Below are 18,991 nucleotides of genomic sequence, written 5' to 3'. Positions count from 1 at the left end.
TAGGTTGGAAGAATACATAGAATTTTATGTGGAGAATTTGCTCTGCAAATATAATAGTTCAGTAAGGCAGGGGAAAGAAAAACTTGATTGTTACACCATTCCAAAGCCCTTAAGACCAAATTCCTCTCAGCCCATTGATTTCATCTTGACATGTAACATAACCCACAGTTCTACAGTAAAAGAAACCATGAAATATTGGTAATGATTTCCAGAGTACACATATACACTTGTTGATTGAAGATTAATTTCTCAGCAGGGTGGCTCATCATTGATATCCTGCCTTTTATGTGACGTAGGTTGCATGACCTTAATTATTAAGGAAACCTGCTTTGAATTGGCTCTAAGTATCTAGAGAATATGAGTTAGACTGCAGTAAAGGCATAAAAGATGCTTAGGTTGGATCATATATTTTATTATGGAGCATCAAAATCAGAGTAAGAGATAATTTGATGGTCTGAAATAGCCTTGAGGGCTACCAGTTGTTGGCTTGAACTATGTCCCATGTAATATCTTGTTTTTCCCTCTTTTCCTTTTCCTTCTTGCATAATTGCCCAACAAAACTTCTAATAGCACATGGCCTTTGGGGAAAATGTATTCAGGAGCTTGTTTAACCAAATTATCCTCAGGGCTCCACCTAAAGAGACATATAAACAGCTCTAAACTGAAGATTCCGTTTAAAGAGAGTATAGATTCATAGCAACAGAACATGACAATTACCATGAGAATTACAGGCTTAAAAGCCATCTTTTGGTCCATTTAATGAAAACAATCATTTCACCCCAAATACATATCCTCCGTCATGGTTGTATAGAAGACTGCTTTGGGTGGTCATAACCACTCACTTTCTGATAATTATTTCCCAACCTAAAAAGTTCATTTCTAAAATATGTGAAGTAAATGTGGAAATAAGAGAGATGTGCTGGGGTTTGAGAAAGCCCAATACGAAGACCTCGCTTCCCTCCCCAAGTTTTAAACCCATCGAAAAACACAGTACCCAGATTGAGATCTCATTTCCTGGTGGAATTAATCTGTGACAGTCCAGATGTCAGAAATAAACAATATCTAGAGCACCATAGGCCTATAGAACTTTCTGCAAAATGGATACATTTTATAGCCGTTCTGTTCAATATGGTAGCCACTAACCACTTGAAGTGGGTCTAGGGTGGTCGAAGAACTGAAATTTTAATTTTATGTAATTAATTTAAATTTAAACAGCTATATCTAGTTAGTGGCTACTGTACTGGACAGTGCAAAACCAGGATGTCAGGACAAGAGCTAGGAATTCAGTGACATGCCATGGTCCTGCCAACAATGTGTGGAAAAGCAGTCAAACACAATAGGAAAAGGTAACTAGGTGTTGGTCACAAAGGAAGACAAAGATCCAGGTTTTGAAGGGAGGAAGGGAGATAATAATAAGCATAATAATAACTACTGAGTAGCTATGGTAGGTAATATTATTGCCATTTTTCATTTGAGGAGAGTGTGGCTCAGAACTTGTCCAAGGTCATACATTTAATAAGTAGGAAAGCCAGAATCTGAAACTGACTCTAAAGTTTATCTTCTTTCTAGCGTGCTCAAAATGGGATTCCTAAGAGCAAAATCATCAAATCAAGCCAAATAGTGATCATCAAATATCTTCACATATCCTTAGTCCTTAAGCCTTCTGATCTCTCTTAAGATTCACCTTATGCATCACTATGTAGGAGGTAAATAGGAGAAACTACAGTCATTCAGCAGCTTCCTTCAACCACCATCTGTTGAATACCTACCAAGTTCAGGGTGCTGGATGCTGCAGACGCTGAAATGAATAGGAGATTAAGACATGATTGTAAGTGAAATGATGGTAAATTGTGGCTGGATTGTATCCTTTCAGCTAACTGTCCCCACTGCAGAGCCCTGAGGCACAGTCACCACTCAAAGACCCTGCAGGGAGGAACAAACACAGCACAGGCTGTGGTTCTAAATTCCCATGCCTTCTCTTAGCCTGCAGAATTGGCTGCTCCTTTGCACAGAAGTGACCACGGATGAGGAAAGGGTTCACAGAAGCATCTCTAGGGTACACAATTCACATTATATTCTGTATGAATGGTGCCCCCGACACTAAAACTGGTGGCCTTCTATGAACCTCTCTTCATACACGATTTTCCTAGGACCTACTCTGGTTCCTGTTCGACTTTTTTAAAGGATAGAGTAGGGAGAACTCCTGGGCATATCTCAGCAAATTAGCAGCACAAAAGATGTGATTAAAATAGAAATTTCCTTTAAGCTTGTAGCAACCCAAAAAGAGAAAGTGGAAATCAAAGTTCCATGCTTGCTTTCTCCCAAGGAAAACTTCAGCTTCTAGCATTATGGCTCTGAGCTCCGCCTACAGGTGATTCTGGGCCACCTATGCTATCAGCAGTCTGGATCCTCAAGGAGCTCACAGCCAAGTGAAGGAGACACAGCAATAAATTATTGCTGTTCAACGATAGCTTCTATAGGAGAGGGATGTACAGATGCTAGTGGTAGCTCCAAGAAGGTACTAGTCAGAGTTTCGCAGATGTCTTCTACAAGAGCTCTGTTTTCAGTAAGATGATAGGAAATTAGACCTGAGAGCTATTGTCTACATGCATGACCTATGGTGTTTGGTGAGATGCTCCCAGCAGTCAACCTCAATGCAGGGAGCCAGTACTTCCTAAGAGGTACCCAGCTTGACTGATGAGTTTTTTACTGTGAACCAACCTAAACCAACTATTAATCAAGGAAAGAGAAAACATGAGATGCAGGTTTCAGGTTCCACGCCATATCTAGGTCCATCCTGAAGACGTATACTCTCCTTTCTTTCAGAAGATTAAGGATACGCCTCCCCCACCACCCCCAAAAAAGGGATAGCCAAAAAAGGTGCCGTAAGCTTTTTTAAAGCCATTAATTAATCATGAACTTGAGCAATTCTGAATCTGCCCTGAGAGTGTCTGAGTTCAGTGGTTAATTTTCCAGATCATCTGCATGTAAGATCCACAAGGAAAGACTTGATTGAGTATAGGCTCCCCAGGGCAGAGGCAGTTCCATTCGTCACTGATCCCTCAGTGCCTAGCATGCCTGGTACCCAGTGGGTGTTTATTATATATTAGTCCTCCTTCTCCATGTAGTAGTTCAGTTATGTTCATCACACATTTATGGAGTACCTGTGTGCCTAGCATTATTCTAAGGGTTGAGAATAAATAGAAATATAAGACATTCTGGTCCTTTGCTCTCCGATGGCTTACAAACAGAGAACACTCAGTAAATGTTCTTTGAATTGAATTGCTGACTGAGTGGTTCAACAGGATAGGCTTGGAACTACAAACTGACTCTCGACAGAATTCTCCAATCAACTGAGTAGGAAAAAAAAACTGGTTTGAGATATATCCAAATGATATTGATCAGGAATATAGCTTGAAATTCTTAACTATGCTTGTGTTCACTGTCATAATACTGATGCTGATTTATCCCTTCCCATACCTATCCCCAACACCGGCTCCTTTCTGAGCAGTAAAGTTCAGGAGGAAGCCTGTTATCCCTGATCAGAGAAACACACAGGTCTACACGAGATTTGGACTGATGTCCTTCATTGGCATCATCCTTTTACCAGCTGGCCCCACATATTGCAGATGTGCCAAAATGGATTCGCTATCATGTTGACACAGCTTTATTGTATCTTCTCCAAAACAACTTAGAATTTTCCTTCCAAGGTGTAGCATTGAGATGGACAACTTAACTTCTGTATTTCCTGACTTTGTGAGTGTATGTCTAGATTAGTATTATGGAGATTACTCAGGGTTTGTTTTTTCACTCTTTGGCACTTTGGTCTATAAATCATGCTATTTATTTGTTTGTCCCTAACTGTCCAAAGGAGACTATCCTTGTCACTGGAAAATAAGGCTGAGTAGCCATACAGTGGCAGAACACAGGCAATCACAAATGATCAGGGAAACAAAAACTAGCAACAAGATGAATGTACTGGAAGCAAGCATAACAAAGAGAGGTGACGGTGAGCACGGGCCATTGCTCCAGCTGCACAGCCAGTGGCTCTGTGCATAAATGCTCAGCAGGTTTCAGTGCAGGAGCTGGAAATAAGTTTATACCCGAGGCAAAATAGACGGTCAAGTCAACTTGAGGCGCATTAGAGGAACAGGGGAAAGGAGGGTGGAAGTGATTGACAAGGGCTACATGGCACTTCTTACGTAATATCCCAACCTGTCTAGCCTCCTCAAGGAACACAGATCTGGCCATGAGCCAGTGTGAAAGGTCTTTCTGGCTTGTCTGTCTCCTACACCTCCCATGTCCTAGACTAATGAAGGGACCATGTGTAAAATAGATGTGTGAAGACTCAGAGCTTAGTAACACACAGGACACACAATGGTGGTCATCCTTGTTCTCTTGTCATTAGTTCACTTGCCAGAGAGGTGAAGGGAGTTCCCCATACTGCCCTCAAATTGCAGCTTCCAAAATTTAGCTGGTTTTGAAGCTGGAGCAACTTTGATGTTTTCTTAACACAGGCAGGCACTTCATTAAAGTACTACGGAGTATACCAGCTATGTTTTCCCAGGAGTGAGCTGGATGAGATCCAAGCTGGGATCCAGACACACACAGGCAAAAATTATATAGGCAGGGAAGTAAACCTCATTATCTTTCCAAGACATAATCTTACTTGCTTTAGTTAATTGCTACGTTTTTGCAGGGAGGGGAGTTGCTTCATCAAAGACATGTTTTCAAGAGACATGTGGTAGTCAATAGTCTATGGGCTGTTGTCCACATCAGAGGCGTGCAGTCTAACCATGGGTCCAAGCAAACATCCAGGAGCAGTATTTCCTCCAACGCGATAAAAGAGATGAAGCAAATTCCAGGTCAATTCAGGGAAAACCTTTGTTCCTGCTAAATGGATCTTGTAAAACTGATGGTTTTTTTAAATTTTATTTTAAGTTCTGGGATACATGTGTGCAGGACGTGCAGGTTTGTTACCCAGGTAAACCTGTGCCCTGGTGGTTTGCTGCAACTATCAACCTATCACCTAGGTATTAAGCCCAGCATGCGTTAGCTATTTATCCTGATGCTCTCCCTTCCCCCAACCCTGCCGACAGGCCCAGTGTGTGTTGTTCCCCTCCCTGTGTCCATGTGTTCTCATTGTTCACCTCCCACTTACAAGTGAAAACATGCAGTATTTGGTTTTCTGTTCCTGTGTTAGTTTGCTGAAGACAATGGCTTCCAGCTCCATCCATGTTCCTGCAAAGGTCATGATCTCATTCCTTTGTATGGCTGCATAGTATTCCATGGTGTATAGATACCACATTTTCTTTATCCAGTCTACCACTGATGGGCATTTGGGTTGATTCCATGTCTTTGCGATTGTGAATAGTGCTGCAATGAACATATGCAAGCATGTATCTTTACAATAGAATGATTTATATAGCTTTGGATATATACCCAGTAATGGGATTGCTGGGTCAAATTGTATTTCTGTTTCTAGGACTTTGAGGAATCACCACACTGTCTTCCACAATGGTTGAACAAATTTACATTCCTACCAACAATGGAAAAGCATTCCTATTTCTCCACAGCCTTTTCAGCATCTGTTGTTTCTTGACTTTGTATTAATTGCCATTCTGACTGGCATAAGATGGTATCTCATTGTGGTTTTGATTTGCATTTCTCTAGTGATCAGTGATGTTGAACTTTTTTTTTCATGTTTGTTGGCTGCATGAATGTCGTCTTTTGAGAAGGGTCTGTTCATATACTTTGCCCACTTTTTAATGGGGTCATTTGTTTTTTTCTTTTAAATTTGTTTAACTTCCTTGTAGATTCTGGGTATTAGAGCTTTGTAAGATGGGTGGATTGCAAACATTTTCTCCCATTCTGTAAGTTGTCTGTTCACTCTGATGATAGTTTCTTTTGCTGTGCAGAAGCTCTTTAGTTTAATTAGATCCCATTTGTCAATTTTTGCTTTTGTTGCCATTGCTTTTGACATTTTCTTTTCTTTTCTTTTCTTTTCTTTTTTTGTGATGGAGTTTTGCTCTTGTGCCCAGGCTGGAGTGCAATGGCACGATCTTGGCTCACTGCAACTTCTGCCTGCCAGGTTCAAGTGATTCTCCAGCCACAGCCTCCCGAGTAGCTAGGATTACAGGTATGCAACACCATGCCCAGCTAATTTTTTGTATTTTTAACAGAGACGAGGTTTCTCCATGTTGGTCAGGCTGGTCTCAAACTCCCAACCTCAGGTGATGTGCCTGCCTCAGCCTCCCAAAGTGTTAGGATTACAGGCGTGAGCCACCACGTCTGGCCGCTTTTGACATTTTCATCATGAAATCTTTGCCCATGCCTATGTCCTGAATTTTATTGCCTAGATTTTCTTCTAGGGTTTTTATAGTTTGGGGTTTTACATTTAAGTCTTTAATCCATCTTGAGTTAATTTTTGTATAAGGTGTAAGGAGGGGGTCCAGTTTCAGTTTTCTGCATGTGGCTAGCCAGTTTTCCCAGCACCATTTATTAAATAAAAAAATTTTCTCCATTGCTTGTTTTTGTCAGGTTTGTCAAAGATCAGATGGTTGTAGATGTGTGGTGTTATTTCTGAGATCTTTATTTTGTTCTGTTGGTCAATGTGTCTGTTTTTCGGCTTTATGTTTTTTAACCAGTACCATGCTGTTTTGGTAAAACTGATTCTTTTGGAAACTACAACTTGTCCTATTGAAATTAGGATTATTTGATATTGAGTTTATTTAAAACTGAGGGACAGCAGTCAGGGAAGGGCAGGAGGAATGCTGTGAAGTCATTGACGTATTCCCCAGGCTTTGAGCAGTATAGTATTTACATAAAGAGTTGAGTCCCTTCAAAAACACTTGATTTCATGCAATAATTCCTGGTTCATTTGTCCATTGATTCCTTGATTTATTCTTTCAACAAGACTTTATTTTCTGTCTCCCACTCATTGTGGTAGGCCCCATGGATAAGTTAATAAATAAGGCAAGTATCGTTCATCTCCTTTTATAGCTTAACCTGTTAAACATGTTTAAAATGTGGTTTTTTAAAAAAATTTAAGAGTGTGCACTGGGAGCAATACATACATACAGATGAGAGGCCTAAACTATTTAGGGCACTGTGGAGGCCTTACCCCCAAAAGAGCATATCCTCAGGACACCGTGAATTTTTCTGTTAACTAAGAACCCAAAATCTCAGGGACTTATGCCTTATTTTTTATTCACCTAGATGTCTACTGCAGTTTGACAGGAGCTTCTGCTACTAATGGTTACTTAGGGACACAGGCTGATGGAACAGTCATCAACTCCAATGACACCAATTACTAACCGAGAGGGATTAAAAGGGCTCTGAGGATTTGGCACTAACATGCAAATACTCCACCCAAAAGTGGTACACCCTGCTCTGCTCACATCTCACTGGTCAGGATTACTTTTGTGGCCTCACCCAGCTAGGAAATACAATCCTTCCAGGTACTAGGTTATGACCTGTACAAGTACTGACTCCACTGCATCATGAAGGCAGGGTAACAGTGAGCCCCATAAGTTGGAGAGGTGGCCAGGGGCCTCAGGAAAAGAATTCCAGACCAAGGCAAAAACATGTGTGAAGGCCACATAATTTCTTCCTGGAGTGGACCTCTCTTCTGTAGATACAATTAATAATATGTCTACCTCCAGGTTAGACTGTAAATTCCAAAATCCATAGTTCTAGCACAAAGTAGGTGCTCAGCACATGTTTAGAAATGAGGAAAACAAGGTTGTCTCTGGGTTGGATATAATGAACTAGATCAGAAATACTCAAAGTTTCCTTATAGTGCCATAACCACCTCCAGGCCAAAGCAGGTCTTGCTTGAATGTTTTCCTAATCTATGTCTGTCTCACTCCTTCTCTGATAGAGCTAGTCTCTTCTTCCTTCTTTCTCTAACTATAAATTGTACAGGGAACTTCAAAGTACCTGTAACACCTTTTTACCTGTATGTGTTTATCCATTTCATCCTACTAGATGCTGAGGGGAGACTCCTATCTTATTTGGCTTTATACCAATGTATAGATCAGTGCCTGGGACATGGTATTTGTCAATATCTATTGAGAAAGTAAATGCATCTGAAATTGTAAGTATGAAGAGAAGGGTAGTTGGATAGCACTGGAAATACGGGAAAATTTGGTAAGTTAGATACTATCGATAGGAGGCCAATTGACTAAAACACCCTGTTTCAGTGACATGTACATCTCCCAAGAAGGATGCTGCAAGTTATAGTAGCCTGGATTGAATTGGGTTTAAATCATACTCTAACATCATGCTCGTACATGACATGAGAGGCACAACATGCTATCAGCTTACATAAGCATTCTGGTCTCTCCAATAGTGTTTTCTTTGACATTTCTGTTTGCTTAGACACTGTCTGTCACAAGCCAATCCAGCGGTAACCATCCTAATCCAAGGTGGATAACAATAGCATCAACCTCGCATTTGTATGACACTTGAACTTCATAAAATGATTTAATGTCTTTTATCCCACCATCCAGGAAGGCAACTTTGTGATGTCCACCATAAATAGTGATTTGTTGTCATTATCAACCAGAGGAAGAGAAAAAATCATGTGCAGTTTTTCACCTCTCTTTCAGGTTCCATTTTGCAGAGTAGCTGAGATGCTATTCAGTCCTCTCTCCTAGCTCTATTAGCCTCAGTAACTGCCTGAAACAGCAAGACTGCAGACAATATTCGGGCTTATGACCACAGAAATCCAAACAGAATGACAATTTTCATTCATTTGAGGTGAACTGGGTTATTCTAATTTTCAGGAATTGGATATTCTTCTAGGAGACCTGTCCCTGTGGCAGTAGAAGGGGCCTGTTGCTGTCAGCACAGTTGCTCAAGGAATGGCTTGTGAGCTGCAATTTTTTCACACTACTAATGCATTGCCTTCACCAGGGAGCACAGCCGGTTGCTGTGGGATTGCATTAGAGGCTTTGGTGAAAAGCCTGGAGACCTCACTATCAAGGAGGAAGTGAAAGGTGATCAGTGGGACTCTACCAGTTAACTCTTCAGGGAACCTACCACCATTTATGTGTTTACCAGAGATATGCTTCTGATTGTAATGGGACCCCTGACAAATTGAGGATTTTTGCATTGCTGCACCTGAGTGGGACTAATAGAATGTCAGCATCAGCTTTCAATGCCTTTCCTGATGACCCATGCATAATAGCTTCCTGTGCGTGGGCTTCAAGAGTCCGTGACTTACTGTGCAGCTTATAAGTTTGTGGAAATGCTAGTCATTGGAGAATCCTCTACACCCTAAATTTTTATTATAAGCCCTATAGTATTTAATGGTTTAGAGCATTTACCTCCAGTTATACTGCTTGGATTCACATCTCCATTCCTCCACTTTCTAATTGTGAGGCTTCAGATGAATTGCTCTCTTTCAAAGGCTCTGTTTCCTCATCTTTAAAATAGAAATAATAATAATAGCAACTACTTATAGTGAAGATTAATTAAGAAAATGAATGTATAGTGCGCCAGGCATGGCAAATTGTAGCAATTTCTCTTAATTGCCTTTTTATATAGGGCCCAAGGTAGGGTTTCACAAGATCAGAGAAAGATAAATCAGTTGAAATTAGAAAAAGAGAGATTTTAGTAAGTTGTCTCTTACCAAGTGTCAAGTACTGCCCTGGAAGAAAGGGCATGCCTTCAATAAGTATTTATTGAGGACCTAATATATATGAAGCAGTAGGCTTCAGGTAGATAAGTTGTCTGCCACTGGATGTGTTTAAGTACGGGCCAGGCAGCCACTTGGTGAGAGCAGGAGCCAGCACAGGGCATCTTTCACCACAGAAAACCTCATACAGCCTAGTGGGCTATTCTAGGATTGTTTTAATCGGATTACAAGGCTGAATAATCAATTTGTACCCACTTGAGTCAACCCAAAGTTGTGTGTGGGCCACTTCATTCTGATAGATGCCTATTAATAAAGAAGGATAAAAGAGAAGGGGGAGGGAGAACGGCAGGAAAATTACATAATTGCCTTTTCCAAATTGCTTGTAAGTCTTACCTGAAGAAAAATACATCATAATTAAGGCCTCTGGCTTCCATTTATGAAAATGCTAGAACAGCTCAATTGCTTTGCCCCCAGCACTCTTAGAATTTTTTTTGTCATTGGCATTATTATGTTATTGAAAAGTGTTCAACATTATTGTAGGCTCTTTAGGATCACAACGTGCAGGTTGCAGAGGTGCACCTTGAGCTTCTTTTCCTATTTATATTGAAACTAGAAAGGAGAGATAGGTACAGAAAAGAGGTGGGTAGGCAGGGGCATCGTGTAAATATATAAGGTGCAGTCATGTATCCAGCAATGCTTTCATCGAGCCAAACCCTTTCCATCTGACAAGTTCCCAAAGCTCTCCCTGGAGGACACAGAACCTGAGGAATGAGCAGCTGCTTGGCTAAGGAGGTGGCAAGGCAAGCTGACAGCAGGAACAGAGCATGCGGTTAGTGGGTGAGAATGTACCAGGAGAAGGAAACTGGCAAAGGAAGGAGAGACTGAAAAAGGCCCACAAGTTACATTCCCAGAAGGCAGCCCACCCCAGTGAGCATGACACAATAGGCTCCCAGATGTCTCCCTTGTGTTATTCATCTGCCACCACAGTTCTCAATCTTGCATAAGCATGTGAGTCACCTGGAAATCTTGTTAAAATGCAGATACTGATTCAGTAGGTCTAGCGTGGAGCCTGAGATTCTGCATTTCTAACAGGCTCCCAGGTGATGTTAATACTCAGAGTCTGCAGACTGCTCTTTAAGTAGCAATGTACTAGGTCACGGGTGGGCACACTATGGCCTGTGGGTCAAATTTTGCCAGTTGCTTCTTTGGTAAATATGCATAAGATTGGAACACAGCCATGCCAGATTGTTCACATATTGTCTCTGGCTACTTTTGCACTCAGTTGAGTAGTTGCAACAGAGACTTTATAGCTCACAAAGCCTAAAATACATTTAGTGTCTGACCTTCCCTTTAGGATAGAGATCAGAATATTTCTCCTTTTTTGAAGCTAAGAAAAAAAGAAGAAATTGTGTTATGTTGAGCTGAAGGAACTTGTATTATGAATTTCAGTAAATAAGAGGAAAATTCTGGCTTTGACAACAAAAAATAATGATTTCTATAAACATTTAGAGGAGATTAAATCTGTAAATGAATTGAAAGAGAAACATTCCAGAACTCCATGGTTCTAGAGAAACCCTGGATCCTTGCAATCCTTCTACATTCTGTAAGACTGAAAAGAACTAGTAAAATCTTGTGTGATGTCCTATGTTGACTATAAATTATCTTCAGAACCACAAAATTTATAAATTCATCTTCCATCAGTTGAAAATAACATGCTTTTGCTCTTCACCACCTCATTATGGTTTCTTAGCTGCTTAGAGAGTTCTTTTTCTTCGGTGAGGAAACTATAACAGCAATAATTCAACCTTAACTTTGCATGACACAGCATCTTTTCCAAATTACTTTTCACATGCAGTATCACGTTTGATCTTCACATTAAATCCTCCAATATAGGTAAACTAATTACATTTGATGCAAAGAAGCAGTGACACAAAGTCTTCACTCAACAAGCTCACACTCTAATCAAAGAGACAGTAATAGACATAAACATCAACATGGTGTGACAAATGTTCATAGAGGGGTGAATGGGACACAGGTGCAAGTCAGAGGATGACATAGGCTGTGATGGGCTGTCATTTCAGAATTTACCTTACAGGTCTTTAAATTGGGGGAAGAGGTTGTAATGAATGAGAAGATTATCACAGCAAAAATATTAATAAAAATTTGAAGGAAAAAAAGGCAATGGTAGCATTTTACAGAGAATATCATTTTGAGGTAGAAATTCTTGCATGGGAAATTAAAAAATTGAGGTTCAGAATCAATACGGATTAATTAATCACTGAAGGTAGGATGCATACTGAAGACTTCTAACTCTAAACATTATTTTTTCCCCTATGGCTATATTAACTTTTCAAGGATGATTTTTTTCAGGGATGAGGATATCATATGGGTTTATAATGACAGTTATGATAATGATGGTTAACATTCATAGAGTATGTTTTCTATGTCTTCCAAAGGACTAGCACCAATAGATGAATGTACCTTAGAAGATTTCAGAGCAATGTAATTAAAATCTTGCTAATCTTTTGAGCTGTCCAGCAAAAGAATAAGCTATATCAGAAAAATAATGAGCTCTCCCTTTCTTAAAGGAAGTGTCTACATTAAAGCTGAATTCACAAGGGGTTTTACAGAAGAGAATGCTTTGTGTTGGCTGAAAAATCGGAATGAATGTGTCTCCTTCAAATAGAGCCAATGAATTTCCCAAGGCCACACAGTTACAGTAACTCAGCCAGAGCTAGAACCTACATGTCCCAGTTCTCTTTCCTCTACTTCCCTCTTCTATTATGACTATTAATATCAGATGTAAGTGACAGGATGATTAATGAGGAATCCAGCATTGTATTCCAGTAGAATAATGTTCAGTATAGACAATGATGTGTAAATAGCTGTAATTCCCAGTGAAACTTTGTAAAGGACTTAGCCTACATTAAGCAGTTGGGAAATTTCCTCATTCTCACAGTCATTAAGATAACGTTCTCCAGTTACTTTTTTTGTTCTTATTAGAATTGTTCTTGGGCCTTATTTCAGGTACTACCCAAATGGCATACATTATGGTTTGGTCTTATTTGATTGCTACTTTTTAAAAGCATTCAGATACCATCAAGCATAGAGCTTCCTAAGGTACAGTAATTTAGCTAAAGAATATGTGTGAGGAAGCTGAGTATGTATGAAACAAGATAGAGTAAAACCCCAGGGAATTATGTGGCCTTTTGTTTTATAGCTATTGCAATAATTTATGATACCATGAATTCAGTCACATGTTTACTTTATGGAGTGACCTATCAACCCAGTCCTCTTTCCAACATAATTCAAAAAACATTTACTGAACATCTCAACTCTGAGCCTAGTTTCTCACCAGGCACGTGAGTAAATGAAAACTATTCCATAATGATGTTACTGTAATCTCAGGGGGTTTTATTCTCATGAAGATTTACAAGTATGCAACCAACTGCTAGAGAAATAAAGAACCAAAAGAAGTAGAACAGACAATAAGTGCCACAGAAGGGGATTCAATATTGAACAGGAATTTTAACAACATTAATTTTCATGTTTCAGCCACATTACAGGTTGACTAAAATACCCCCGATAATCAATTAATTTATTCTCTCTTGACAGCAATCCATTTGTGCATCCGTTGTTATGCCACATAATCGGCACAAAGGAACCATGTCCCATTCGAGTGAGATTAGCCAGTCTACTGTGGCTACGTTATGATTTTAATCCTTGTTTCCTGTAATGCTTCTATAATGCAAAACCTAATGATTTTTCTCTAACCTGCATGGTCTCCAGAGATAGTGCATCTGATTCGGTCTCTAAAGTAACGTAAGCAGTGTGGTTTGGGGGTCAGCACAGCAGGCTAGAAAGCAATAGAAACAGCTATACAGCCAAAGAAAGTGCTTACATTCTTTTCAAACTGAGTTTAGTTTTTAGTGCCAGAAAAAAAAGTGAAATCAAAGGTACCAGTATTCCTCACCCTTATGCTAAATATAGATTTTCATAAACTAGTCAAACACAGCTCTAAAAGATGGTTTATCTTGAGGTTAATCTCGGATGAGAAATTAATGTTTAATTAATTTTAGTCAAGTCAAGGGGTAGCAGATATGCCTCCTTTATTTTTGTTTAATTGGAATCTAATTACAAAGAGGTCATTCATTCATTCATTTGCTCAGCAAATATTTTTTTAACTACGTGAAGCTGGGTTTTTTAACTAAAGCAAAACTCAATAGAAAGTTCTGTGCTGCATTTATTTTCCTAATTTTAGACATTTGTCTAACTTCCCAACGACATTACCCTTGCCTTGAGTGAACATTTGAGGAAATGTAGATCAAAATTATTTGTCCCCCTTAACCACTTTCTAATTAGCAAAAATGCCAAATCTCTGCCTTTAAAATTCTGAATGGCTTTGGCATAATGAAGCAGCATTATGGGTTAATTTAAGTAATACACTAGAAAACTGTCATCAGCTAACAAATGCACTTGTCTTTAAATTGATCATTTAATCCTCATGATGCCATATTTTTATTTCTTTACTTCTCAAGATCAGTGGTTCTCAACCTTGCCAGTATATTGGAATCACAGAAAGAACTTTAATAGATACTGATGCCTAGTATTCACTCCCATAGAGACTGATTTAACTGGTTTGGGGCCATAGTCTGCTTAGCTACTATAACAAAATACCTTTGGTAACTTATACTACTGGGTAATTTATAAATGATAGAGATTTGTTGCTCACAGTCCTGGAGGCTGTAAAGTCCAAGATCTAGGTACCAGCAGATGCTCTACGCTTCCAAGATGGTATCTCCTAGCTGTGTCCTCACATGGTGGAAGGAACAAGGGAGCTCCCCCTGGAATCCTTTCTGTAAGAGCACTAATCCCATTTATAAGGGTAGAGCTCTCATAACTTAATTGCTTCTCAAAGCCCTCGCCTCTTAATACTACCACAATGGGTATTGGGCTCCAACATATGAATTTGGGGGTGGGGGAACGCCAATATTCAGACCATACCAACAAGGTTTTGTTTACATATCCTAGGTGTTTCAAATGTGCACCCAGGATTAAGAACCACCATTCTAAACTATGAGAACATAAGCATGTGATCATATTCCTCCTTTGCTAACAACCCTTCAACGATGCAACAGTCCTTACAAATGCTGGGGAAAATCCAGAATCCCGAGCACAGTTGTCAGTGCCTTCAGAGGTCCACCTCCTGCTCCTGTCTCTCCCCTTTTTCCAGCCCTCAGCAGTGTGCTTTGCATGCTACAGGTCTTCCCACCTGCCACTCTCAAGTCTGACCCAACCCCAGTCCTTGGGCAAACTGTTCTCTTTGATGAGATGCTTCTCTGTATTTCTTCATCTGAACAGTTTCTACTGATCTTTAGTTTTGGTTGAAGTGTCACTTTCTTACACAGAACATTTCTGTTCCTACCCATGACTCTCATCCCAAAAATGTTTCTCTGCCATATCTAACACTTTACTTGTTTATTACATGGAAACTGTAGGGGTGTTGAGGACAGGAACCTTGTCTGTCTTCTTTACTGCTGTGTCTCCAGTACCTAACATAGTGTATTGTATCTAACAGGAGCCCAGTAACTATGTTATTTAATCAGTCATGATCCAGTCAAGAAAAAGAAACCACACCAGGAATTTGAATGGGGAAAACTTTATAGAAAAAGTTCTTAACTGGTAAAATGTGATTGACTACTAAGTAGACTAAAAAGTACTCACAGCAAATGTTGGGGGCAGTTATACTCCTAAGGTAAAAAAGAATACCCAGAGAAGGAGCTAAAAGTTTGAAAAGCACCAGCTCATACCAATGGCTGAGATTTTTGACCCCACTGGAGAGGGCACAACTGCTACCTGCTGAAGAGCAGAGAACTTCACTGGGTCCTGTGGGCCAGAGCTGGTCTGCAGGAGGTCACATGTTCGGATGTTGGTGACTTTTACTAGGGTGTCATGGGTTGAAGCTGGCCCATAGAAACTCCCCACTTGGGTGCCAATAGATTATAGTTGGTCTGCAGGAAGCTTCCTATTGAGATGCTGGAGACACTCAGTGTCCCTCAGTGGAGACTGAGGGCCACTCACCACTGCCAGATGTGCAGCTGAAGGAGAAAGAGAAAAGCACACAATAAAAGCCTCTTTATTTTTGTTGTTGTTGTTTTTGTTGTTGTTGCTATGTCTGCAGTGTCTCTCTAGGCTCTCTCGCAACAAAACCTAAGACTGAACCAACTCTCAAATGTGAAATGTCATAGGGCCCAGCCCCAAAATCACAAAACAGGGTAAACAGCAGTAGATTTAGAGGTGAGAGATAATCAATTGATATCTAGCACTGTTATCAATGATTGATAGATAGATGATAGATAGGTAGATAGATACATAGACAGATACATAGCTGGATAGATAGATACCAGATAGATAGATATCCCCAGTAAAACAAAGCAAATATTAATCCCTTCACAAAGTAAAAACAAATAGCATATTCAAATGAAAAGATAAAAACTTGATAGTCACTTTCTCCTATATTTTTTTATGTCTTCTTTAACATTATTTTCATTTTAAAGAACCAATTATATTTATGGGATATGATGTGATGTTTGGATATTGGGAAACGAGTAAATCAGGCTAATTAATATATCACCTCACATATTTATCATTTCTTTGTGGTAAAAACATTTAAAATCCACTGGTTTAGTAATTTTGAAATATATAATACATTGTAATTAACTGCATTTTTTAATTTTCTTTTTTCTATTCAGAGCTTGAAGCCCAAACCATATTGATGATAGCCATTTTATCTATCCCTATTAGAGTTGGACTTCTCTCATCATGGTCCTGAGAAGCCATGTAACTGGGATGAAGGCAAATCTTGAATTAGATATTTGGAGCTTTTGCTCAACTGTAAGATAGATATTAAATCCTTTCAATTTTGCTTTTCAGGATATTCTGGTAGCAATGTTACAAGCAGTGAAAAAGCATAAACTAGAGGAAATAAATTAATCAGGATATTGCTTGTCATACTTTCATATCATTAAGAATGTTTTGAGTGCCAAATGAAAGCTTTGATGCAAAAATTAGAGCACAGAATGGCAAGATTCTTTTGATCCTTAATCAGTGCTTATAACTTCTGCAGAACATCAACTGTAGCAAAGAATCATTAGTTTTATGCTATATTTAAACTTCTGCTTTATTTAATAAGCAAATGGTGAAAATAAAATGCACATAGCAGGAAGATGATCTTTAGCTGGTGTCAGGGATTGAAAAAATAAGCATCCATTCTAGCCTATCTCTTCACAAAATCATGCAATTGACTCAGAATGCAGCGGATTTCTGAAAGCAATTACATTTGCTTTAAAACAGCCATGCATTTCTGACAGGTACCATAAATGACACAACCTTTTTAGAAATGTTTCTAAAGAGCAATTAACAATATCCATAAATAAGGAAATAGTCTGATATAAAAGAAAAGCTTTATTCTAAAGATATCTGCCAGGCAATATTGATAACACATTCCCATCCCATGAAAAAAAACTAAATAATAAGCAATAAGAGTACTGTGGAATCATCCCATAAGACATGCATACAGCCAGTAAAAATGAAATGTAATAGACTTTAAAACAACAAAAGGAAATGACTATCTTATAAACATCTTCTGTTAAGTGAAAAAAAGCTGATGAAAATAATGTCTCTTGTATAATCACGATTAAAAAGTGCAAGGGAGAAAACCTGGAAGGCTTTTTTTTTTTTTCTTTTCCATAGGATGATTTTGTAGAAATACAGATACAAGACAAAAAAGGGAAGCAAATTTTGGTAGATTACCAAATTGTCCTCCTAAAAGGTGTTATACCACATATACATATACTTTCCTACTACCCATGCATTTTCCATATTTTTGCATATTCCATAATGTACATAGATAATGTTTATACCAGAGAAAAATAGCTAGTATATTTTGCTTTAAAACTTTCAAGGAGGGAGTGGCCAAGATGGCCAAGTAGAAGAAGCTAGTATGTGGCTGTCACAGAGAGGAATAGAAGGGGCAAGTAAATACAGCACCTTAAACTGAAACATCCAGGTACTTGCATTGGGTTTAATCAAGGAAACAACTGGACCCACAGAGAATGGAGAAAAGCAAGACAGGACAATGGCCCACCTGGGAGCAACATGGAGCCAGGGGATCCTCCCCTGCCCAGGGAATGGTGAGTGAATGTGTGACCCCAGGAAACCACGCTTCTCCCACAGATCTTTGCAACCCTCCACTTAGGAGATCTCCTTGTGGATCCACTCCACCAGGGCCTTCAGTTTTCAGTTTGACAGACAGATCTATGTGTAATCTTGGCAGAGCAGCCACTCAGGCATGCATGGAGACCCTGGAGGCTTAGATACCTGGCCTTTCCAGCAAAAGTAGCTACAGCTCTGGCAAAGTGGGAGGTTAGACTCTTATACATACCTCTAGGAAAGAAGCTGAATCCAGGGTGCTGAGTAGCAACAGCCTGCGGACCCCATTTCCATGGCACCTAACAAGGGAAGACCCACAACCAGCTACCAGCAGTGGCATTGCACCCCTAAGGAGCTCCCAGGGGGAGGGACATCTTTGCTGTTTGGGCACCTTAGCCATTCCAACCTTCAGGCTTTGGAGAGTCTGAGCCCACCTGGGATGGAAGGGATCCCCCAGAACAGCACAACTGCTCTACCAGAACATGGTCAGACTGCTGCTTTAAGTGGGTGCCTGATCCTGTTCCTCCTCACTTGGCTGGACCTCCCAACTGGAGCCTCCAGCCATCCCCACACAAGCTCTCTAGCTGACAGAGATCTGAACCCCTGGGACGGTGCTCCCAGAGGGAGGGGTGGGCTGCCATCTTTGCTGTTTGGGTGACTTAGCCATTCCAGCCTTTGGGCTTCGGAGTGTCTGAGGTGACAGGGAGTTGAAGTGGACCCCCAGCACAGCACAGCTGCTCTACCAAAACGTGGCCAGACTGCTTTTTTAAGTGGGTCCCAATCCCATTCCTCCTCACTGGGTGGGACCTCCCAGGTGGGGTCTCCAGTCACTCCCTAAATGTGCCTTAGAGCCAGCAACAGGTCTGTGCCTCCCTGGAACAAAGCTGAGAAGGAAGGAGCTTTGTCCCAGAGGGAGGGATAGGCTGCCATCTTTGCTGTTTTGCAGCCGTCACTGGTGACACCTCCAGGTTCTGGAAAATCTGAGGTGACTGGGAATTGGAGCGGGCCCCAAGCATACCACAGCAGTCCTACAGAAAAGTGGCCAGACTGTTACATGGGTGCCCATTCCCGTATTTCCTCACCAAGCAGGGCCTCCGGGCTTGGGCCTCCAGCCACCCCCTACCAGAGCTATCAAGC

The 18,991-nt window shown here is 40.2% G+C and overlaps 1 protein-coding gene across 2 annotated transcripts in view; it reads right to left on the bottom strand.

Annotated features, from left to right (window-relative positions):
• LOC124902135 (uncharacterized) overlaps nt 1–18,991 on the bottom strand; it is a 50,861-nt gene that overhangs the window by 1,772 nt on the left and 30,098 nt on the right. Inside the window, exon 3 of one of the 2 annotated variants that reach the window (XR_007061442.1) lies at nt 14,358–15,741. The exons of the other annotated variant lie outside the window; for it this stretch is intronic. The gene's annotated coding sequence lies outside the window, so the exon portion shown is untranslated. Of the gene's footprint in view, nt 1–14,357; nt 15,742–18,991 lie in introns of those variants that run through there. 2 annotated transcript variants of the gene reach the window in all.

The sequence above is a fragment of the Homo sapiens genome, chromosome 9 (genome assembly GCF_000001405.40).
Source record: "Homo sapiens chromosome 9, GRCh38.p14 Primary Assembly".
NCBI lineage: Eukaryota > Metazoa > Chordata > Mammalia > Primates > Hominidae > Homo > Homo sapiens.
Note: the sequence above shows the minus strand (reverse complement) of the source record. Positions and strands in the feature narration are given on the sequence as shown.